This window comes from Homo sapiens, chromosome 8 (genome assembly GCF_000001405.40).
Source record: "Homo sapiens chromosome 8, GRCh38.p14 Primary Assembly".
Lineage (NCBI taxonomy): Eukaryota > Metazoa > Chordata > Mammalia > Primates > Hominidae > Homo > Homo sapiens.
Window position 1 is genome coordinate 13,717,491 of NC_000008.11, and position 25,831 is coordinate 13,743,321.

The 25,831-nt window shown below is 36.7% G+C and overlaps 1 pseudogene; it reads left to right on the forward strand.

Moving 5' to 3' along the window:
* On the forward strand, positions 24,320 to 25,488 carry LOC100419761 (zinc finger protein 654 pseudogene; annotated as a pseudogene).
* The last annotated feature ends 343 nt before the right edge of the window (positions 25,489 to 25,831 follow it).

Here is a 25,831-nt window from a genome sequence, read left to right on the forward strand (position 1 = left end):
TTAAATGCTAATGATAAGTACCGGTAGAGAGGAGAAGGAATAGTTGAAAAATAACCTTTAAGGAGTGATTGATTATGTATAGGGGGAATTGATGGAAATAGGATCACAAGCACAAAATGGAAGGCTTGGAAACAAAAAGGTAAGCTCTTCTAACAGTGGGGAGACAGGAAGAGAAAAATGCAGATGCCGATGGGTTTGTATATTTGTTGCAAGAACTTAAAGAATTTATTCTATGATATTTTGCCTATTTTTCAGCATAATAAGGTAAAATTTGAGACTAAGAGAAGGTGATGAAGATTGGAACTTTAAAAAAGATTCTAAATAGGAAATAAGAGTTGCTGGGAAGTGTTCCTTTTGTGAGGTCAATGGCTATAAACTTATAGAGGCACAAGTCCATCTGATAGTAAAATTTTCTCTAGTTGCTCTTAGATTGCTGAAGTAGACAGAAAACAGGCAGCTAAATTTCAACAGCATTGGCCTCTGTGAAATGGAATGCCAGGTGCCCAGTGGGGCACAGAAGTACAGGCAATTGATCAGAGACAGCTTAAAGAGATGGGTGTGAAATCTGTTGTATAGGGAAAGAAGTAAAGATAAATAAAGGCTGCTAAAGGTAGAGGAAGTAGGTAGACTAAAAGAGGTTGTTAGGTAAATAAAATACCACAACATGGGAATAACTGATTAAGAATACTGGTAGCTCAAGGCTGTAATTCTAGCACTTTGGGAGGCTGAGACAGGCAGATCACTTGAGCTCAGGAGTTTAAAACCAGCCTAGCCAACATGGTGAAACCCTGTCTCCACTAAGAATACAAAAAAAATAGTGGGATGTGGTGGTGGGCGCCTGTAATTCCAGCTACTTGGGAGGCTGAGACAGAAGAATCACTTGAACCTGGGAGGCGGAGGTTTGCAGTGAGCCAAGACCCTAACACTGCACTTCAGCCTGGGTGACAGAGCAAGACTCTGTCTCAAAAAATAAAAATAAAAAAATAAAAGAATACTGGGAAAAACGTAAATTGTGGTCACAGTGGCCCAGGTCTAGATCTCAGAGGTAGAGTTCACTTGCAAGATAAAACTAGTGGGTGACTATGTGAGTAAATCACTGAGTGGAGTACAGTTGAAAATAATAGGCAGTGAAGTAACAGGACTATGAAGTCAGAAATAGATATTGGTCGTTAATTTGTATATGGAAGTCACTGATGATGCTGCTGGAAATTAGCTAAAGAGAAAGACATTAGTTTTCAATGAATGGACCATAGTTCAAGGGAGGATAAAGGATGTTATATGAGTAATATGAGTCTAAAAGTAATAAGCATTGAGCTTGGGTTGAGGGAGGAATAATTCTTTGGAAGTAGCCATCATTCTGTTGTGTGTGGGGAAGGAAAACTCCAAGGCAATTAGTATTTCCATGGTGCGAGTCAGATGCTGGTTAAATCTACAAAGTGAAGGTGATACCTGCAGAAGTAGGAACCTAACTGTTATTGCCTGAAATGTCAATCTTAGAATTTTTAGAATTTTCTTAGAAATTTTCTCCTTGTCTGAAGAGTTATAATTTTAGGTTTGGAACAATCTCAATGGATATATTTTTATAACTTAAAAATGCACTTTAGACTGGGTGTGGTGGCTCACACTTGTAATCCCAGCACTTTGGGAGGCCGAGGCAGGCGGATCACGAGGTCAAGAGATTGAGACCACCCTGGCCAACATGGTGAAACCTTGTCTCTAGTAAAAATACAAAAATTAGCTGGGCGTGGTGGTGCACGCCTGTAGTTCCAGCTACTTGGGTGGCTGAGGCAGGAGAATCGCTTGAAGCCGGGAGGCAGAGGTTGCAGTGAGCTGAGACTGCACCACTGCACTCCAGCCTTGGCAAGAGAGCGAGACTCTGTCTCAAAAAAAAAAAAATGCACTCTATATGGAGGAGGAATACATATTCACTCTGCTGTTTTTGTGGTGCAAGGCTTTGGGAGGAAGAGCAGAGTTCAAAGGTAATTGGCACTTGTGTGGAAAAAGGAGGAATGCTACAGAAGGAGGCATAGGAATTGCTAAAGAACATATTTAGCTATAATACAACTTTACTTTTAAACTCAGACTTCTGGGAATGAGCAGAGACACTCAAGGACTGCATGCTCTCTCTCTGGTTATTTCCAAATGACTAAATGGCCTTCTGTGCCTTGTAGCATTTATTATCTCCACTTTTAGTTGGCTATTAAATGGATACATTGTTTTTATTAAAGCTATAATTTGCTTGTGTCTTCAAAAATATATTTTGCCATTTTGTTATTGCTTATTATCACTGCCCTGCAGAAAACCTGACACGTATATTAACACCAAATAAATTCATAATGAACAAAGCTGTTAGAAAAGTTAGTAAGTTAATAATATTGAGTGCAAAAGGCATTGTCTTAAAAAAGCATTTCTTTGAGAAGATATTCAATGCATTTATTCATCTATTTAAAGTTTACGGGTTCCTTAATTGAATACTTGATATTGGAGAAAAAATGAACTATTAAGTCAAAATAATTATGTAAACAAGCTCTTATCTTCCGCCTGATGAAAATGATTTTCAGAACGCCTTGGATTTTGTGAATGCAGATGGCACTTCAGATCATTCCTACATAAGGTAGTTTATAAGGTGTGCATATCTTGTGTGTTTTATGATAGTTCATAAAATTTCACTAGTAATGGGAATAACCCAGATACATAGGGAAGCATGCCATGTTGCACAGGTATGTAGGATTATGTGTGTGGTGGCGCCCGTTCATAATACCAGGTCTGTTGCTTTGATGACGCCACAAAAGGGGAAAATGTGGAATGTGCTCAGGAAACATGAACTTAAAGAGATATACATTTAAAGCACATTGTTTAAAAATAGATTTATGTTTTATCAATATTAAAAAGCACTAGAAAAAATTATTTACCCCTGAAAAATTATGCTGTCATGGTTTGGGGGCAGTATTTAATCATTAATTGATTTTCATATTTTAGACTTTAAAGCCAGTCCTAAGTTTATAAGAATTTCATAAGTTAAAGCACATACAGTGCTCAGAAGGGTGTCTCATACATAGAAGCAGTCGATTCATGTTAGATGTTGTTGTTATTGTGATTATTTGTACATGAAACAATTCATAGAAACTTTTGCCTCATGGTATCACTGAATGTCGAACAATGGGAAAGTTAATAATAATGTAAAAAATCTTCAGTATTTTCTTATAACGAGAGCAATACTATCATCCTTGCACGTTGGCCTTTGACCTATTGAGTTTTCATTTTCACTTGCCTTCCTAATGCATATGTCTTTCTACCCAAATAACATAGTAAACCCCTTAAAGAAAAAGTATTCTTTATTCCTAGTTCTGAACTCAATATCGTCTTTAAAATACTATATATGTGAAGCTCAAAACACTTAACACTATTATCAATATTTGGTTGGCTAGGGATCCCATATAAAGAGAAATCTACAAGAGGTAAGCCCTGAAGTATTTGCTATCATTTAAAAATACATATTAAGGAAATGTTGTATTTACTTTGATTTTTAGAGGCATAATATTGTAAGTTTTAAGATCTTGTCATTTACTTCCTTTTGTTAGAGCAGTCATCTGTAGAGTGTCTTTTATGCCTTTGAAATATGTTTTAAACCACTCCCTTTGATTATCCTTTCAAATAGATCAGGGTTCTTAGTTGCAAATAACAAAATTTATTCTGACTACATTAAATAGAAAATTTAATGTTAAATATTATTTTCATTAAATGGAAAATAAATTTGTTAAATGCACTTTAGATCCCTCACAGCAGTAGTGTGAGCAGTGGTGTCTTGATATTTTCTCTGGAATGACGCAATTATTTTCAATAAGAATAATGAAATACTAATTTTGGCCTGAAAAATGCATATAGTGAAAACTGTTTTTTGTGTTTTATTTTACTTTAAGTTCTGGGATACATGTGCAGAACGCGCAGGTTTGTTATGTAGGTATACGTGTGCCATGATGGTTTGCTGCACCTATCAACCTGTCATCTAGGTTTTAAGCTGCGCATGCATTACGTATTTGTCCTAATGCTCGCCCTCCCCTTGACCCCCACCCCCCAACAGGCCCCAGTGTGTGATGCTTCCATCCCTGTGTTCATGTGTTCTCATCGTTCAGCTCCCACTTATGAGTGAGAACATGCAGTGTTTGGTTTTCTGTTTCTGTGTTAGTTTGCTGAGAATGATGGTTTCTAGCTTCATCCATGTTCCTGCAAAGGACAGGAACTCATTCTTCTTTATGGCTGCATAGTATTCCATGGTGTATATGTGCCACATTTTCTTTATCGAGTCTATCATTGATGGGCATTTGGTTTGTTTCCAAGTCTTTGCTATTGTAAGTAGTGCTGCAATAAACATAGTTGTGCATGTGTCTTTATAGTAGATTGGTTTATAATCCTTTGTGTATATACCCAGTAATGGGATTGGTGGGTCAAATGGTATTTCTGGTTCTAGATCCTTGAGGAATCACCACGCTGTCTTCCACTCAGAAGCTAAGCAGGTTTGGGCATGGGTAGTACTTGGATGGGAAAAAACTTTGTTTTCTTGTACTTTGAATATATGACCATGCCAGTAAAATTTTTAAAAAATGAAAATTTAAAAATACATATTGCAATACAAAAAGGAAAAAGCTACAGATTGATACTTTTTAAAGACATGAATCATTTCTTTAAATGTTGAAAATTTATACCTGTATATTAATATGTCATAATAATGAATAATGACATTACAATTTCTGTTTTCAGGAATGAACTTTGGAGAACTTGTCAATGACTTCAAAATAGATTTTCCTTGCATATTCATATTTAAAAATGAATATATACATTTAATACATTTAAGTAGCATATCAGATTTGTTAATCTATCATCACTCATAGTTGATTAAAAACACATATTTTATTTTATCACAGATTCGGGGGTAGATGCGCAGGTTGGTTACATGGGTATGTTTAGTAATGTTGGGGTTTACTTCTAGTGAATGCATCACCCAAATAGTGAATATTGTATCCAATAAGTAGTTTTTAGCACTCACCCTACCCCGCTTGACAGTCCTCAATATATATTGTTTCTATCTTTATGTCCATCTGTACTCATTGTTTAGCTCCCACTTATAAGTGGGAACATGTGGCATTTGATTTTATGTTTTTGTGTTATTTCACTTAGGATAATGGCTTCCAGCTGCATCCATGTTGCTGCAAAGGACATGATTTCATTCTTTTTTTATGGCTGCATAATATTCTATGGTGTATATATGCCAAATTTTCTTTTTCCAACCCACGATTGATGGACATGTAGGTTGATTCCGTGACTTTGCTAGTGTGAATAGCGCAACAGTTAACAAGCTATTGTAGGTTAGTGTATGATAAAATGATTTTTTTTCCTTTGGATAGATATCCATTGGTGGGATTGCTAGGTTGAATGGTAGTTCTGTCTTTAGATCTTTGATAAATTTCCATACTGTTGCCCATAGGGATTTTACTAATTATATTCCCACTAGCAGCATATAAGTGCTCCCTTTTCTCTGCATCCTTGCCACTATCTGTTCTGACTTCTTAATAGCCATTCTAATTAGTGTGAGATGGTATCTCATGGTTTTAATTTGCATTTATTGGATTTGTGACGTTGAACATTTTTTCATGTTCGTTGGTTGCTTGTAGGATTTCTTTTGAGGAGTGTGAGTTCGTATTCTTTGCCCAAAGAAGCACTTGCTTTGATCAAGGAGTGATGGGAAGAGATTCTGTTGGGATGTACTGAGGTCTTTGCGTGAGAGGAGGGGAAGGAGGTCCTCTCCTGTGCAGGCTGGAACATGATCCACTTCCTTATTATGTCCTTGTTGCAGGGTTCACAACTTTCAGTTCATATAAACTTGGTCCTATGGTTTCCAGCCACAGTGGTATGGTGGACCACAGATTTGCCCCTTTGGTGGCTTCCATCAAACGGGCTGAATGCAGGGTCTCCTCCAGTTCAGAGCAGACAACTCTGTGTCTTGTCTGTCTTCGATGCTAGGACACAGCTGCTCTGTGTAGAGAGGAGATGCTGAGCCCTGTCCCTCATGCAAGCCCAAGCAGCGTGGGCTCACTTTCAGTGAGGGTGGAGCCACTGTGGAAAGCAGGAAAAACACTTTTTCCAAGTGCATATGCGCCAGCCCCCAATGGTAAGAACTGCTGTTGCGTCTGTAACGGTGGGACGGGGAAGGATGGGATGAGATGACACCCTGTCTGTGATTGTACGTGGCCGTCAGTGCCGCCCCCTTCAGTGATTGGTGCCACGCCCCCGTTTCCTTTGTCCCAAGGAGGGGTTTGGCACACTGTGTTCCATCTCCCTTAGGGCAAAAAGCCTTTTTAATTTTCAGAGTTTCTTTCACATGGAGTGAGAGATACACAAACAATGTGTACATAGTATATATATTTAAGTATGCAGTTTTAGAGCTTTGGGACCTGACATGGTGCAAGCTGCTTAAGATCATTGACCACTTCTGGTATACTGCCCACAATTCAGGTGCTGAATTTTTATAGAGAAAAATAAACCTGGGGTTCATGGACCCAGGGGGGTTTCATGTTTAAATAAGATACATTATTGATAAAACATTCTTTGTAAATTTTATGTTACATTTTTGGTGCTTGAAACAGATTAAACTGTGTCCATTACTGAATGTTAAAATTACTTTATGGTTTAATCTGACAAGGAGGTCAGATGAGGTAGGTTCAAATCCTTTTTGTTGCTTCACATAATTGTTACATAATCAAGGACAAATCACTTGATCCCTGTGAGCCTCTTCTGCAAAACAGGGGTTTTCATGATCGATTGAGCTTTATTGAAAGTACTTAACCCAGTATTGGTGTAGGATGCAGGTAACACAAAGTAAGTAAGAGTTGATTTGCTGGCTTGTTTTACTTGTTTGTATACTTAAGAGCAAAATATTAGAAATTTTGATGCTGATATCATGATCACAGTAAGCAGAAACATTGAAAAGAGAACTCAACATACTACACTAATGCTTAAACATACTAACACACACCCAGAGAAGCTGGAAAGTTCTAGCCTGCACACCTGCATGCTAAGGGGTTGCCTGTGGGTTAACGTATTGATTTACTATGTGATAGGACTCTGTTAAACTGACAGCCTCTTGTCTGTCAGCAGTGTGCTTGAAGTCTCTGGTGCCACTGGAGAACTGTATCCACCCCAGAAGAAAAGCCACTCTATTAGGAGACACATTTGTTACAAACGCCTTCAGATTAGAGCCAAACACAAATTTATAAATGCAACAAACAATCACATATCTTAAAGATTTGCTTGCGTGTTTGGATGATATAAAAATTAATTGATTAAACAAAGGCAAAATGTTTTTAATCATACCTGACCAGCATCTATCTGACTTCAAAAGCATTTGTACGTTATTCTTGCCTTTTGGAATTTTGGACTCTAAAAGAAAGTCAGTGTGCCTATAATGTTAATTTTTGAAATTTAGAAAGCTTGGACTGTCAAACGTGGTTCAGAATATTTTATATCACAATTGTAGGGTAGCAATAATTTGCACATTCCAACTTTATTATTAAGTATGAAATAAAACTTATAGCATAATGCTTTATCCAGTTTTAGACTGCTATGTGAAGGTGGGATGGCTATCTTTCAATTTCCATTTTTAAAAAATTCAGCCAATTTATAGCTGTTCAAGTATAACACTTCTCACAAGAAGCTTTCCTTGGTGAGTGGCTAAATACATAGAAGTGTGAATGACTAATAATGCATATCAAAAAGTATCAAACAAAAAATGTTCCTTCAGTCTTTAATTATTGCTAGATAAAGATACATATTTAGCATTAAACTAAGTATACAATACAGTGTCAGCTTTTTAAAAGCTTTTTTGTTTGAATTTCTGTCCAAGTTTCCCTCTGGGAATGCTAAAGACCCTTGGCCCGTGTTTTGTACCAGATTTCCTTTTTTCTTTTCTTCTTTTTCTTTTCTTTTCTGTTTTCTTTTTATCTTTTTCTTTCCTTTTCTTTTTGAACTTCTGACCTTGTTCTTCCAATAATTATTGGAACTGTGCTGTCAACTGCATTTCCTGGTAAATCTCAGAAAATACACTGATTAACAAATTAAGGACATAAAAACCCAAGGCTTAGCAATGTGACTCCAAAATAAGCCTTAAGGCAGCTTTGAGGGACAAGAGGTAATGCGAGTTAATTTAACAACTGGACCTTTCAACTAGAGCCCCTACCTGTGGTTTCTTCAGTGGATTGAGTTTCTTCACAGCATATCAATATCAGAGTGGTTCCACTATGGTGGCTCATGGGTCCAAGCCTGAGTGCTCCAGTGGGCAGAGCAAAAGCAGTGCTATTTTTAATGATCTAGCTTCTGAAGGCACGCAGTGTCACTTTTGTTCCTTTATGTCTGTTCATTACTACTGAGCCACCAAGGCCAGTTCAGATTCAAAGATCAGAAGGATATGGCAACACCACCTGTTAGTGGGATGAGATGACAAAAAAATAATGGATACATTTTAAAACTGCCACAGGCAAAATGTATATCAGGAAATGGTCATAACACATGGTTAACTTGCATTATCAATATTGGGATTTGAGTAAGAAGATAAACATGGCATTGCAGCATAGATATCCAGGTTGGAATACACGGAGGTAACCTTGCAATTAATTCGTCATTGATCAGATTCTTACAGATGGGAATGCTGCAAGTCAGAAAATAGTTCAAAGAAGAAGATAAGACACCCTGAATATGGATAAATGATTGGATCTATCTGTGAACACAGTTCTGAGGGTTGTTGAGTTTTAAACATGAAACAGAGTTTCACAGACCTTTGAGTAAAATAAGAAAGGTGGAAGAATTGACTCCTTATTCAACCAACGTGGGGTAGACCAGCTGCCTTCCAAAGAAACCTGCCCTAGAACAGTCATGTTTGAGTTACAACGAGCAATTTAGTGACCACCGTGAAATTTCGTTAATGTGAGTCAGTTATGTGGGTTGTGTCAATTTTTGTTTATCATTTTCAGTTTTATAAATGTGTAAGAGCTTAAACTTACCAGGTTTATGTCTATACACTTTAAATTTGTCATTAAAGAGTTGAGGGACCCAGTATGGGCAACAAAGGGAGACCTTCTCTCTACCAATAAACAAACAAACCAGGCATGCTGGTCCATGCCTGTAGTCTCAGCTACTCAGGAGGCTGAGGTGGGAGGATTGCTTGAGCCCAGGAGGTTGAGGCTGCAGTGAGCTGTGATCATGCCATTGCACTCCAGCCTGGGTGACAAAACGAGACCTTGTCTCAGAAGAAGAAGAAGAAAAAAAAAGATTTGAGGATTACCTATACTTAACCTGAATACAAGAGAGATGAGTCATTAAAGCAAACACTGGTACCTGTGTGAAAATATCATTAAGAAAGGAATGACAACTGCCTTCTTTATGCACAAGGAAAAAAGTAAAAAGGTATTAGGTCATAAAATTTTAGCTAGGCTATGTAATAAATGTTTTCTAACTTTAAGGAGGTGTTTATTTAAACCATGCCAACAGAATAAAAGCATTTAAAAAACATCTCCAAAGCAGTAAAATCTCCATTGATACAAATAGTAAACACTATGCATTAATATTTAAAACCCATAATAGAAATGATGTGATCAGAAATTTCATGATAGAGATTTATTTAGATTAATGAGAAAAAGTTCTCTATAATAACTTGGGTTGTTCTTGCTGTTCAACTTCAGTCGCTTTTAAGGTTGCTTTCTATTAAAAATAAGTTAATAGTTCTTATATACACTGTACTGCATATTTCCCTGTAATGTTTCTTACTAAAAATTACCAGATCTGATGGATTTACCCTAAAACACCTGCAGTTTGCCGGGATATTGAAATCAATCTTAAAATCTTAATGAAACACTGTGACTTAATACAGTGCTGAACTTCCTAGGTTTGATATGCACCACAGAAAAGATGGTGATGATGATAAAAAGTGAAATTGTCATGGGTTCTGCAAAGAAGCCCTGTAACCTGGACAGATGTGTAAAGAAATCTGCTTTCTTAAGTCACACATCTAATGCTACTTATTTTTAAAAAATCATTTGGGAAAGTCTTTACATGATAGCAAAAACTACACAGTCTTGAAAAAAATCTCCTGAATCTTTAATTTTAAAATACCCCAAATGTTTTTATAAGCATAAGAATTTTTAATGACTGTCATTTTATAATGTAGAGGTATTTAGTTTTTCAGAATGGAATGGGAGAATATAATTATGTTTAGTTACTATGGCACCTTTGATTGTTAATACAGGTTGTTTGATAATATTTTTTAAAAGACTGTAATTTAAAAAATTGTACACATTTCCTTTAGCGCGTGTTCTGTTATTAGGTCAGTAGCCACTAGAGGGCAGTAAATATACCTTCAATGGGAATTAATAGCTTAAGGTTCCGGGTCTCCAATATTTTTCTATTGTATAGCTTCTGCATGGCTTGCATTTCAAACTGATTTTAAATATTTTATATTATTCAGTAATTGTAAATGGAAATATTAAGGCAAAATTATGGTCAAACATGGGATATTGATAATAAAAATAAGAACTAATATTTACTGAGTACTCCTTCATGGGCTGGTTACTGGGACTAACACTTTCCATATATAATAGCTTCTTTTAAGCCTCACAATACATCTTTAAGATGGAACCATTATTATACCCATATGAGAGTGAAACCGAGGCTTAGTGAGGTTAATAAAAGCCAAATATCTTTAAAACAAGATTTTAGTTGTTTCTTTTGCAGGAAGGAGAGAAGTGTCAGCATAGAATTTGGTTTATTAGATGTTTTGAAGCTGTCTGCTTGAAAAGGTTATCAGAAAATTAAGCCAGCTAATTCTTTCTGAGTTAGTGCAGAAAGTTAAACTTGGAAAAATAAACCTGCTTTATTCTGTAAAGATTACGAGGAACGTAAGATAATGCCTGTGCAAAGGAAAATAAATATAGCACATCCAGTTCAAGGTGGGTTTTTGGGTGATAATTTTTTAAAGTGATAGTGTTCTAAATAGACTAATCAAGATCAGTTACTAATCAAGATTATGATAGCTATTTAGATATAGTCTCCATAAGAAGCAAAAATGATGTCAAGCCTCCTTCCACTGATACATGTCCTACTTCTCAATACTGTCCTACCGTCTAACTACCCAACAAGGTGTACATTTCTCAGTCTTCAAAGTCTAAGCAAGAAAGCAAATTGGATTGATGGAATAATTTAAAAAAAAAAGCAAAAAGAGAAATTATTTACATAAAAAAATCTTGAACCACAGCTGTTTACTCTCGATTTCAGCTGAGGTCTCTTGGCAATTACTGCTGCATTTAAAAACCAAGTACAGAAGCCCTCTGCAGAATTTGCAAAGGAGTTTTCCAAACTGGCTGTGTTATAGCCAGTCATTGATTTATAGCCTGTAACACAGTTTTGAGAAAAGAATAGGGATTTACAGAAGGTTTTGGGGAGCTCTGTCAATATGCTGAGTTCAGGTTCCTTCACCTAAAGCCTAGGGAAGGAATAAAGGCCACTCAGAGTTCGATGTGTGTCCTCTGGATCTAGGTGCAGTAAAGTGATGTCTGACTGATGCTTCCGAAATCTAAGCATCTGCATTTGTCTCTCTGATGACAGAGGGAAAATAATTTCCTGTTAATGTAGAGCTTGTCAGAACAGAGGATGCTTTGGTCTTTCCTATGTATTTGATAATAGATGTGATATATGTGAAATGCATGGAGTGGGCTTGTCTTAATTTCTCTTTAAGAGGGCTATCTTGAGAAGCAAAAGAACCTCTGGGCGGGCGCGGTGGCTCATGCCTGTAATCGCAGCACTTTGGGAGGCCAACGCGGGTGGATCACCTGAAGTCGGGAGTTCGAGACCAGCCTGACCAACATGGAGAAACCCCATCTCTACTAAAAATAACAAAATTAGCCAGGCTTGGTGGTGCATGCCTGTAATCCCAGGTACTTGGGAGGCCGAGGCAGGAGAATCGCTTGAAGTTGGGAGGTAGAGGTTGCTGTGAACTGAGATTGCACCACTGCACTCCAGCCTGGGCAACAAGAGTGAAACTGCATTTCAAAAAAAAAAAAAAAAAAAACCTCAGCAGAAAAAAAATTAGAAGTGCCACACGCGGTGTCCAGGTATGTACAGTGTGGCAGCTGGAATAGCAAGGCAAGTGCCTGGATCAAGGAAACTTCAAATGAGGGATCTCCCATGAGGGGAGTGTCCACTTGGAAGACCTCCAGGCCTGGAGAGCATCAGTGTAGATTAGCGCTAAGTAAGTTACGGCTACCATTTTTGTTGCTTCTGTCTGTTCCTTCTTACCTCTCCTTCCCTGAAGGGTGACGAGCCAAAATTATTAAAAGCTGAGAAAGAAGTGGCGAGGAGAAGTAAGCTGAACATGCCCTCTTTTTCGGCTTCATGAAAAAAAAATATGTTTAAATGAACCTAGAATTGTTATTACATTGGATTGAATATTCTAATTACTGAACTGATTGTTTTGAGACAAAAGTGACAGGAAGAACTTTTATTACCTGAGAATGACCTGGAGAGTCATGGACCTACCCTTGTTTTTATTCACGAAGTGAGAAAATGGAGAACCCTTCTGTATTTTTTTTCTGTCCTTACTCAGTGTAGCAGTTATTGTAATTTGTAATACTTCTGCAAAAATAATCTATAGATATTCCAATTTTAAATTCAGAATTTGCAGACACATACATTGGTTTAACAAAACTGTAATAAGTATTCAGTCTGAAAAATTTGTTTTTCATATAATGCCAACCTTATACTTTATTGCAATATTTGAGGTGTTTATTATCTGAGGGTATTAAATACTAAGGAAATTCTGATTATAGAATACTTTCTTAGGTTTCATTTTGTAAGTGCCTACAGCATATTGAGCTTGAGAGATGAATTGTTCATTTAAAGTTCATTTAAAACTGTCAGACAGTAATTTAACTTTTTTTCCCCACTGTCTGTCAACTGCAACTTGACATCATGCATCAGGCTGAGTGACACAGGTTTCTAGAGACTGCAATTTAGTTTCTGCATGTCCCATCGGCATGAATAACAGCTTTTCAAGAACACTGTTATCCCCAGAGGGTGTCTACAAAAGATTATCTAATTTGACTTGCTTTAAAAAATAGCTTATCACAAAGATTTCTAATTTGTTCTACCTGATCCTTTAGTTACTGATACTATTAGCCATAGCAAATCATAGCTGTTGACTTATCTTATTCATTTCATAATCAGTAATATTGAACATTAATCAGAAGTGATGTTTCATTGTATGGTTGACAACTGCAAAGCTATAGGGCATTTAAAAGTCATAGACAAAGAGATAAAAGTAACAATTTACTTGGAGAAAACCTTGCATATAACAAGTAAAACTAAAATCTCAAGCAGTATTCCAAGTGTGAGTACCCTTTCTAAAAATCTACAATTTATTGGGTCCTTGCTATATATTAGGCTTAAGACTCCTGTTAATTTTATTTTACAAGTGGGAAAAGTGTGGCTAGAGTGGAGGTGTTAAATTAGTCAAAGTAATATATGGGGAGTGAGTTTACAAAACTCAGTTGTAAATTGAATACGTTCAGTTCTAGGGTTGTCTAACAATAAACCTCATTCACTCTGACACAGCACCACATCACCTCTCGAAGTACTGTCTAGTTGCAATGTCAACCTCTATAGGGATGGCTGGACAGAAATTAAAAGATAATAAAAATCATTTACCAGCAATTTTGAAAGTTCTTGAATTCTTGTATTACTTGAATTACAACAAAGATATGGCTGTTGTAACAGAGACTCTAGGTAACAAAGGCTTAAACTAAATTGAACTTAATCATTTTAATTATCTTTCACCTGATTGTCTAGGAGAATGTTGTCCAGGACTTCTTGGTTAACTCTCTAGTACCAGGAGACAAGACGTTTTCAATCTTATTCCTCGTTAGTGAGTTGCTTTTATCTACATATCCAAGACAATTAACTACAATTATGTCCGCATTCTTGCCAGGCAGCTGAAGGAAAGAGAACGAGAGAACACACTTCTTCTTTATAAGATTTGAACATCGCTGGTTGCTATGGTGTGAATGTTTGTGTTTCCCCACCACCTCCAGTTCATATGATGAAACCTTAAACCCCTCAGGGTGAGGTATTATAAGGTGAGGTCATTAGGCCATGAGAGCTGAACCCTTCTGATTGGGATTAGTGCCCTTATAAAAGAGGCAGCAGGGTGCTAGTCGACCCTACCAGCGTGTGAGGACACAGTGAGAAGGTACCATCTATAACTAGGAAATGAGCCCTGAGCAGATACCAAATCTGCTGGTGCCTTGATCTTGGACTTAGCCTCCACAACTGTGAGAAATGAATTTCTGTTGCTTATAAGCTACGTAGAATAAGCTATTTTGTTATAGCATCCTAAATGGATTGACACTGATTTTATTTTGAAAAAAAGAGGTAAAATGTACACAATGTAAAATTCACATTAAGAAATTTCACCGCCTAGTGTTGTGGCTCACTCCTGTAATCCCAGCACTTTGGGAGGTCGAGGCGGGTGGATCACCTGAGGTTGGGAGTTGGAGACCAGCCTGACTAACATGGAGAAACCCTGTCTCTACTAAAAATACAAAATTAGCCGGGTGTGGTGGCGCATGTCTGTAATCTCAGCTACTCGGGAGGCTGAGGCAGGATAATCAGTTGAATCGGGGAGGCGGAGGTTGCAGTGAGCCGAGATCATGCCATTGCACTCCAGCCTGGGCAACAAAACTGAAACTCAGTCTCAAAAAAAATTTCAGAGTGTACCGTTCATTGGTTTTTAGTATATTCACAGAGTTGTGCGGCCATCACTACTAATTCCAGAAAACTTTCACCACCGCAAAAGGAAACCTCCTGCCTTCTTTTCTACCTGTTGGCAATCACTCCCAATTTCCCCTCTCCTCCATCCTGGGCAACCACTAATCTACATTTATTTTCTATGGATTGGACTATTTTGAGTATTTCATATAAATGGAGTCATACAATGTATTACCTTTTGTGACTTGTCTTTACCTTAGCGTGTTTCCAAGGCTCATCTCTGTTGTAACATGTATCAGTACTTTATTCCTTTTAATTGCAAAATAATATTCCATTGTATGGATGTGCCCACATTTTGTTTATCGATTCATTTGATGGACATTTAGACTGCTTCCACTTTTTGGCTATTAAGAATAATGTTACTGTGAGCGATGATATACTAGTTTTGGGATGGGCTTATTTTTTTAATTCCCTTTGGTAGGAATAGAATTTCTGGCTCATATGGTAACCTTAGGTTTAACGTTCTGATAAGTTTATATTACCTATTTCTTCTAGGTCACTGGCCAAGGTGTTGTCATATCATTAGCCTGGGAAGAGTGACAAACTTGAGAATAAAGTCTATATTCTGACAAGTGTGTTCTCAGCTAAATATCAATTAAAATATCTAAGTATTTGTTACTCTCGGACAAGGGAAGAATGGGCATTTGGGAGCAAAGAATTTTCATCATAATATATCTTTTTGGTCACAGAAATGTCAATGCGCTCTCTTCTTCTCAAGTGTAGAAGACGGTTGCTCTTCCCCAAGAAAGACAATCCAAATTTCTGAACCGGGCTCGACTTCAATTACAAGCCCTAGAAATTTGAGAGATGTGCTCCTCCTGTTGAATCACCTTTAAATTAAATGACATGTCACCTTCCTGGGACACACCCAATGCACAATGGTTATGGAATCGTAAAACCATACTGCTAACAAGTATTTGGAAAAGACAAAAATGAGAAACCCCAGAAGGTAGTGATTCATATAAAATATCCTACAATACTGGGCTGGACTAGAGAGTTGTTCTGAACTGTAGCTGAGTAGGATTCTTGCTAAGGCCATCTCCTGGTTGCTCTGGAAGTTATCTTTCTTATCCATTGTCCTCTGTGACCTCAAATGGTGCTGTCTGAAAGATCTGCGCAAGTCATAATTGAAGTGAGCATGTGGTATTTTCTTGGAGAGGACCAGCTTTTCTCAGTTTTCTTCTTGTATATGTTTGGAACTCCAATTTTAGTTTTACTGGCTGCCTAGGAATTTTTAGGACTGGTTTGTAGTTTCTTTAATTATATAATTTAGTCAAAAACGTTGCTGATGGTTAGTTTCTGATTAATTTCATATGTTAACGGTCATAGCAAAGATAACACTTGGATAGGTTTTTAAGCCTAAAAACATTTATTTACTTGTCTCTTCTGCTTTTTCTCTTCCCCTTTCTCCTGATATAATGGTGATTTCCTTGGAGCCATCTGAAAATAGGCTGAGGGAATAAGGCAGTAATTTTAATCTGATTTTCAGTTGTTCAATGAACTCCTATTATCTGGCCTTTAAAGGTGAAGGCTTTCAGGGCACAGATTTATCTGTTCCCCAAACTACCTTTTCAGAATCATTGTAAAAAGTTGCTTAAGTTGTGTTTATCAATATTCCAAGGCCCCAAGTTTCCAGATCCTAGTCACCTTGGGTTTCTGATCGTAGGCTGAGAAAAATCTGTCTAAAAACTGAGTTATTTTCAATTTCAGCATACACATTTATAGCACTGATCTTAGTCACTCAAACTGAACTTTGCTGAAAGTGCCAAGAAACACCCAATACGTACCAATTTTGTCAGTTTTTCTCCATAGTTTCTCTTAGAGTTACAAGCTCTGAGGCACACGGTTTTCCCTATGAGGATTTTGTATAACACCCCAAAATGCTTTCCCACGGCGTAATAAGGGACACTAGTTTGCCTGTAGACACTTTCTGTGTTTCTGCAACTGACTTCTAAGTGATGGCTAGCTATTCTTGATCTTGTTCTGACCAAATTTTTTATTTGTTATCATATATAGGTACTATAAAGAGACCTAAACTTACACTGACCTAGTAAAATAAATATGCGTTATTTCTCTCCTATACGGTCTGGCCAGAAGTAGTATGAAGATGACCTTGTGCCAGGGGCCCAGGTTCATTTTACAACATTGCTGCAGCCCCTCTAAGATGTTGACTTTTACCACGTAGTGCAGGATCGCCCATAACTTTTCTATTCCAGCCAGTGACCTGGTCTGAAACAAAAAGAGTGGGGAACTCTTCCTTTAAATGACATGGCTCAAAGGTTGCACAAATTACTCATGGTCACACCTCCTTGACCAGAAATCAGCCATATGTTCACACCTAGCTGCAAGGTAGTTTGGAAAATGTAGTTTTTATTCTGAGTGAAAATCACTGAGATACAAAGCAATTTTTGTAATGAAAAGGAGGAAATAGATATTGGATGAAACATAGCTATTTCCTACTTTTTTACTTATTGCCATGAAAACTAACAGTAGGAGCAAGCAGTAGCTAGAAAAACTGAGTTTGTAGTGCAAGTTGATTTGTATATTTTCTTTACACTATTTACCTTTGAAACCTGATTAGCCTTTTTTCTTTTCTTTCTTCCTGAGACAGAGTCTTGCTCTATCCCTCAGGCTGGAATGCAGTGGCATAATCTTGGCTCACTTAAAAGCTGATTTTTCTTAATCCATACTAGTTTTATTTGGTCTCTAAGCTTATAGTATCATGTAAATGCAATACCTGGAATAAGGATACTAATTTCAGTGGTAGCATTTAAATTAGACACTGACAATTTATTCTCTATTTTTCTTATTCTTTAAACTTTACTTTCATACTCTAGTTTCTGAAGAGATGCACAAATGTTATACACCTAAGTATTTCAGTCTGACTTAGCATGTTAGAGATGAAGATGTTTAAAAAGTAAAACAAAAAAATAGCTCTTACAGAATTGATTCTAATTTATGTTAATTAATAAAGCAACATTTTAGAGCCAGAAATGAGTAATTCCCACTAAAATCTAAAATGCTATCTTTATGTAACCTTCTTCATTTTAGCCAAGGAAATTTTGTTCCACTCACTGTCCATCCTTTTTGGCTGGTAATATCATTAACTTAAATGCTTTCCCTCTCTTTGGCCATTAGGTTATGAAGTCTAATATTGGAAATGGGATAAGTATATCATTGTGAATTTAGGTCACCTAGATCATAATTTGATTCTATTTGACTCTCATAATTTATAATTGTCAATGTTTTGTTTGGAGATTGAAAGCACTTAAAATACCTTATGGTTACTTTCAGTAGGGTGCTCATTTTACTTAAAGATCTAAATATAACTTTTCAAAATTTTAGTGGAAACAAAGATTGAAATTAGGTGTCGGGTGGTATACATACTTAAAAACCTCATGTCACTCTTACAACAAATTCCAATGAATTATAAAAATCCAACTTGCTTTTATTATCATGATGTTTTACATAACAGTTTACCCAAACCCCACAGAGTTTAAGGCTCCTCAAGGATCCTCATAAGATCAATTTAAAAAGGAAGCAAATTATCTTAACACTTTCTGGCTCGGAATCGGTGTAATTTTGTATTACAGATTAGAATTTAAACCACGACACAAATTGTCCGTTGGCTGCCATGAGCCACAGATGTCTTGAAAATACATTTTGTTTAGCCAGGACAATATTTTAAAAATAAAATGCAATCAGTTGTCAACGTTTAAAAAATTAAATGTTATACATGAAATTTATAGTTGCAGCTTTTCTTTAAATAACAAATGTTGAGGTTTGGCCATGTAGGGTTCCCATTTCACATGTGCTGAGTAGTGACTGTTCTCTTAGACGAGGCACAGGTTTTCTGGCTCAGTTCACTAATATTGGTCCCTTTTTGCTTGTGAGTGCTCTACATCAAGCCAGGTGGAGCGCCACTTGATGGAATCTCAATAGAGTTGTGCTATGGTTTGAATGTGTCCCTCAGTGATCATGTGTTGACAACTTAATCCACATTGCAACAGTATTGGGAGGTGGGGTCCTAATAAGAGGGGATTAGGTCATGGATGGTGTGCCCTCATGAATGGATTAATGTCATTATCAGGAGTAGTTTTCTCGAGAGTGGTGTTCTTATAAAAGTTAGTGTGGCCTCCTCTTACTCTCTTGCCTTTGCTATGGGGTGATGCAGCAAGTAGACCTTCACCAGATGCAGGCCACATGACCTTGGACTTCACAGCCTCCAGAGCTGTAAGAGATAAATCATTGTTCTTTAAAAATGACCTGGTCTATGGTATTCTGTTACAGTAACGTACAATGGATTAAGACCAGTTGGAAGAGGGAGGAGATAGTTGAGGGCAAGCAATCTTAGTAGCTGGGCCAGTTCTTTACTGAGATGTCCAGCAGCGCCCCAGTGCATCTTCCAGTCCATTCTTCTCTGAACTTCTCTCCAGAGCTTCCACTCCGATCACTCTTTCATCCAACATGCCTCCTTTGGGGCATGCTGCTGCCACAGGGGAAAGCCAGGGCCTGTGTCCTTTCAGTACTTTTGGATTCCTGCTACTGCTAGAGTCACCTCCAATGCTTGTTGTCCTATACTTCATTGAAAGAGATAAAATTTGACTTCATTCTTTTTCTTTTTTTTTTTTTTTTTTATTTTTTTTTTTAGTAGAGACGGGGTTTCACCTTGTTAGCCAGGATGGTCTCGATCTCCTGACCTCATGATCCACCCGCCTCGGCCTCCCAAAGTGCTGGGATTACAGGCGTGAGCCACCGCGCCCGGCCGACTTCATTCTTTTTCTTAGCAGAAGTGTCTTTGGCACAGAGATGGGATTAGACATAGAATGGTTATGAGTCCCACGATAAATTGTAAGGGAATTTTGGAGTTACAGAAAGTAGTCAAATCCTGGGGAAGGAATTAAAACTAACTGGTCTAATTAGGTTGAAATGTTAATTCTACTTAACAAATACAAGTACAAAACTAGGGTTTATTACAGTTAGTAGCCATCTTGGTTAAGTGACTGATTGTCATGGTATCAAAGTGCCTGTTTCAAGTAGCCCTTATTTTTGCAAGGTGAGATTTCATCACACTAATCACAGTGGCATGCTACTTAAAACATTTGAATCATTTATTTCTGGAATTTTTCATTTAATATTTTTGGACTATGATTGACCTTGGGTAATTGAAACTGTAAAAAGCAAAGCCACCAATAAGGTGGTACTAGTGTATCTGTGATGTTTGTAAATTAAAAAAGAAAACATGTGAAAGATGATGAAAAAAACATAAAAATGAGATACGATTAAGAAAAAACAGGAAAATAGGAATGCCTAAATTTGGGAGAGCAGGCAGAAAATAAAATCTGGCAAAAATGGAAGAAGGAACTTGTGGAATATGCAACAAGTTACAAAATCATCACCTTTTTTTTTTTTTATTATGCGTCCCAAAGATTAAAGATTGATGCATCAGTGCTACTATTGTCAGGGAGTGATCCGGTCCCCAAATTGTTTTGCATAATGCTCTACCCCTGGATACTTCAAAGTCCCCAGAGTATGCAGATTCTGCTCATCGTGGCTGTGTCTTGCTTGTTATGCTATTTGTAACTCTAGTCTTGTTATTTCATATCTGTTTACACATGCTGAGGTACATGAATCAGTAAATTATTTCCCTGGACTCCAATTTTGTCAAAGTTATTTTGAATTAAGTTCTGTTCCCTTAATTTGTCCCATCCTCCCGGTATGTGATGTGTTTTGTTTATTCACATTTGCAACCTTCATCATTTTTACTGGTTGCTTCCATTCCAGCATTGGAAATACAAAAAATAGTGAATCAAAATGGTCTTCATATTTTAATCCCCATGGAGCCTCACTTGTCACTGATCTTCACCTTCAAATGCTTCCTTTCTCCGAGCCATTTGTCAGCGGACTCACTCTCCTATGTTGCAAATAGTGCTTGTTGATCTTGGAGATTAATCTTTGGTGGGTGATGTATTTTTGAAAACTCACTGAACTTCGGGTACTGTGGTTTATGACTGTGGTTTACTTCAGTTAGATATGAGATATTAGTCCTTCCTAAAAACTTGTCTGTCTGAACAAAATTATTTTTCTATTAAGCCTCTGTTGCTTTTCCATGTTGACTCCATTTTGGTCTACAGCACCTCAGGGCATTTATTATTTCTATTGTTCATTATTTATCCTGGGACAATAAATAGTATCAGATATAATACAAGAAAGAACATCATATATGATACTATTTGTTGCATATATATTATATATATTGCTCTCTATATATGCATATATAGTATTGTATATATAATATATGTAAAATAATAAATATCCAATACTATATATTATATATAGTACATATAAAAATATTTTAATACTATTTATTGGTAATATATGGTAGTACAGTAATATAGTATCGATATATGTGACAAAGTACAATAAATATAAAGTATAGTGAATAAAATATAAAGTACAGTATTGGAGATATATATATGTAAAATGTATGTTACATTCTTTTTTGGTTCAAAATCCTTAAGTTAAAAGGTAAAAAATCTGGATTCTAGTTATTGTTCAATAATTTATTTGTTGTCCAACATTGGGCAAATTCCTTGCCCTCACTCTACCTCTACCTCAGTTTCCTCATCAGTGAAATAGGCATAATATTAACTGCCAATCCTCTTCCATAGTGTTTTTACAAAGAAAATACCAGGTATATGGGAAAAGAATTTGAAAGTTTAAATGGCATATACAAATAATGTCATAGTATTGTCACAGGCTAGTAAAGGAACTAGTACAGATATTAGGCCTAAGTGTTAAATGAATTGCTTATATATTCAAATTACTATTGCTTTTTATAGATTTATACAGTCAAAGGGAATTTTATACTAATGTTATTCCACATGATACTTGCTGGGACTTACATTAGTACAAGTCCCAGTAACGCTCCCATTCCTGATTAGTGACAGATTGGGAGCAGGATTTAAGACTTCACTCCTGACCTGGCTATTTAAAGCATACCTTGTAGACCAGTTCTTTTCATTGGTGTGGATACACTGTGGAATATGTTTAGCTTTACTAACAATCACTGCCAATTTTAATGCTACTCAGTGGGAGAAGCAAAAACTTTTTCGCCCTTACATTGAATCCGGGTCAACAGACTGTGGAGAAAGAAAAATCGCTCTGTTCACCTACCTTGAAATTTTAAAGTTATCAAAATGTTTTCTTGAGGTTTAAGCTTCATTTCTTGGAATATCCAAGCTTCTCCCTTTCCAAATTTCCTCATACCTTCAAGTCCAAAATCCTCCCCCCAATTTTGGCTGATGTTTATTTAGGGTTGAAGTGCAGTTATGTTCTCCTGGCCTTCTCTGCCTCCTGAGCTCTGGCTTCTTGAGGTGGAGCTTTGCTTCTACAAAACCCCAACCTGACACTCATTTACAAAAATAAATCTGTTGCCAAACATTCATCAGGGTGATAGACTTTTCTGGATTTTTTTTTTTTTTTTTTTTTTTTTTTTTTTTTGGTGAGGGGACTACTTAAAGTAAGGGGTTAATTGCATAGCTTGCAGGATTTTGCAATTTTTGCCCTGCAGTTTTTTTTTTAAACCATGTTCCACTTCTTTTATTGTGTATATCTCAGATGATCTCAAGAATTCTGAAAGCTTTTCTCTGTAATTTTCAGGGTCATTTAGTTCTCCCGTAGGAAAACTTGGCAAAACCCAGCAGAGCCACAGTTTTAAAGTACAAAATTGGCTCATTTCATCAAGCCATTTTCAATATGGTTTCTAGGAGAAATTCTGGTGTCACTATTTGTAAGTAACATTTCTACGTTTCAACTCATAAGCCATTGCTTTTCCGTAACTACACTAATGCAAGTTTTCTTAAGCTTTATGGGCCAAGTTGATCACTTTATTCTTTATTTTGTCAGTAACAGAATATGCAGAATGAACTGCATCTGCAGTTCATTTATAATAAAACTGCAAGGCTGATTTAATCGAGTAGCTCACCAATGTCAAAAAATGATACTTTTTCATATGAGTGATCCCTCTTAAAATGGTGGGTGCTGACATTTGCCAAGGCTACATATTTCTTGTCTATACTTAAAGAGTATGTGTCTCCCTCAGGTTTAACATTAACACTGTTAATCTTATGCTGACTAATTTATGCTACGTGCCTGTTTCCGAATCAACTAAGAGCAAGACACACAGATTTTTTTCTTATTATTCAAATTTGTTCAAAAGATAATTGACTTTAAAATAATGTAGCTTGGATGTATTCTACTTCATGACTCCATGCATTCTGTTAAATAGGTATAATTGTTCCTATGTTGAAGTTATTTCAGTTTAAGAAGTATATATTCATGGGTGCTATTTTTTTATTTGATTTAGTTTTAATTGAGCTCTGGAGAAAATCTAGCCAGTACCTATTTCACTGATGTGAACCCTTGCATACTGTAAATTTATTAAGATCACAGCATTTTAAAAATTCCTTAAAATTAAGTTGGTCACTCAAAAATATGTAGCTAAACAGAAAGAAGTATTAAAAAACTAAATGGAGAACCTCAGGAGTATAGCAGATTCCATGGACAAGAAAATGCTGTGGCTCAGTGGTTTGCTTCAGTTTGTGACAGAGAACTTCTGAAATATACACACAAGCAGTGAATGAGGAATCTCACAGACTTCCAGGTAAAAAAAATGTGAAGTCAGACCTTAAAATACCAAATGGATATTTTTTTTTCTCCCAACAGTCTCTGTCCCTACAGGTTTCATCTCATAGTGACTACATTTCATTAATTAGAACAGGAGACAGGAGGGTAAAGAGGGTGTTTTTTTATTTTGTCGTTTGAAAAAATTGTAAAACCTTGCAATCATAATGCTCCTGTGTACGCTGCCTGCTAGGCTTTATTGCCTGATTGCCTTCTGCTACATGCATTAGCAATACCATGCTTGAAATACACACACACACACACACACACACACACACACACACACACACACACACACACAAATATACATCATGGAACTTTTGGTTTAACCACCCAGCCATGGTTTTCACGGTCATAAACCATTTAAGTCAAAAGCAATCACCAGTACCCTAGACACCACCCACATAAGAGCAGAGAACCCCGTGGCCTGGGTCAGAATGTGCGTCTTCCATGCTCCATGGAATCTTGGAAACAGATTTCTATTATTTATTACCCAGTACCTGGAAATGCTGTATTTTAATATCAATTTCAATATCACAGAACCATTTGAGTCAAAGTGCCTTAAGAGATTGTATAGAACAAAAATGGCCTAGAAGGGCCGATTTCACAAAAATTAATACTAAGAAAAGACAAAGCAAGGATTAATTCAGAATGGAAATAATTAGGCATCGATAATGCTTCTGAAGTTATTTTTGAAACAGCAGTAGCTATTTGGAATACTAGTTACAACTTAAGCCTTGAGAACAATTAAAATCCATCTACATTAGCTGGTGATTTACATGTGCGACAGACAGTATTGAAGTGGAACAAAGGAAAATGCAAATTTCGTCAAAGCCAGTTTGAAGATTCTCAACATTTTACAGACCACCTTAATAGACATAGCTATCCAAATGTGTATTTTTGTGCAATGAGTCATTTAAGCTGCCATTCCAGCTTGCCAAGCGTACAAAAAGTCACAGGATATTTCAAGCTGTGTAGTTTTCCAGAATTCCATGAGCTTTTGGAAGATCTTCCTCTGCTATATGAACATGAAGCTCAGCACTGTTTAAAACACCAGAATCATCTGCACAACCCAGTGAGACAATTCTTCGGGATGTTCATACAGACTCCAATCCTAATCATCAGGAAAAGGATTCATCTAGTACTGAGAAACCATTAGTCTGTCAGTTTCTCCTAGCAAATCAAGGAAAGATTCTACAGAACCAAAGACATGTATAGGAAGTATGGAAAAGAAAACAGTTTAGTTCAGAATGGAAATGAACGTTCTGATGACACTGTTTAAAATATAAGCTTGTTAGACCAAAAGATGGCTGACATAGAGCCAAATTCTGAAAATAATTGTAGTAGTCATGATTTAGTTAATGGACACAGTGAAACAGAGCAAACACCTTTAGTTTTATCAGATCCTGCTTTGAAAATTGATATAAACAGAATCAGGACAGAAAATGGTTCCATTTTACCTAGTGTTGTACCACAAGAACACAATACCTTACCAGTATCTCAGGCACCTTCCAAACCAAATCTGACAAATGAACATACTTCGTATGGCTTAATTTTAACAAAACCAGTTACCTTCACGAACAGTATCTTAGTATGCCCAAACATGCATAATTTCTGACTGATACCTGTCCTGATCAAGATAACATGTATAGGAAATTAGTGAAAAGATTAAGATGTGGCAAATGCCTGACCACCTACTGTAATGCAGAAGCACTTGAGGCTCATCTAGACTGATAAAAATGTTTCAGAAAGATGTGTCAATCAAGCAGTAGTGTGAAAAAAGCACTATGAAAACACATCAGTTTGCTATTTCCCTGATGGCCTTAATTTTACAGTGGTCTCGGATTACTAAAGATAAAGACAAAACACGTTTTCTAGAATGAACTACAGAGATGTGGTGGCTTAGACTTTAAAAGGGTTATTATAAAACTCCCAAAGTACCAGTTTTCCAGAAAACCACATTTAAAAAAGTTTAATGATTAATAGCAGCAGCATGTTCAGTTTTGCTTATATGAGAAACATGTTTAGGCAACTAGTCAGAAAACCAGCGATGGCCATACAGAAAGGGCAAAGTTAACCCATTATTAAAAAGTGTGTGTGGGGAGGGGGGCTGGTTTACAGTAATTATCAATTTAAATTATTTTCTACAAATGGGGTTTTCTTCTCATGTGTAATCAGATTACGTCCTCTCCCTTCTAGTCGAACATGGTTTAAGGAACAGCTGCTCTTTGGTTTGTGATATGATTTAGAAACTTATACATTAACTTACCACAATGCTATCAAT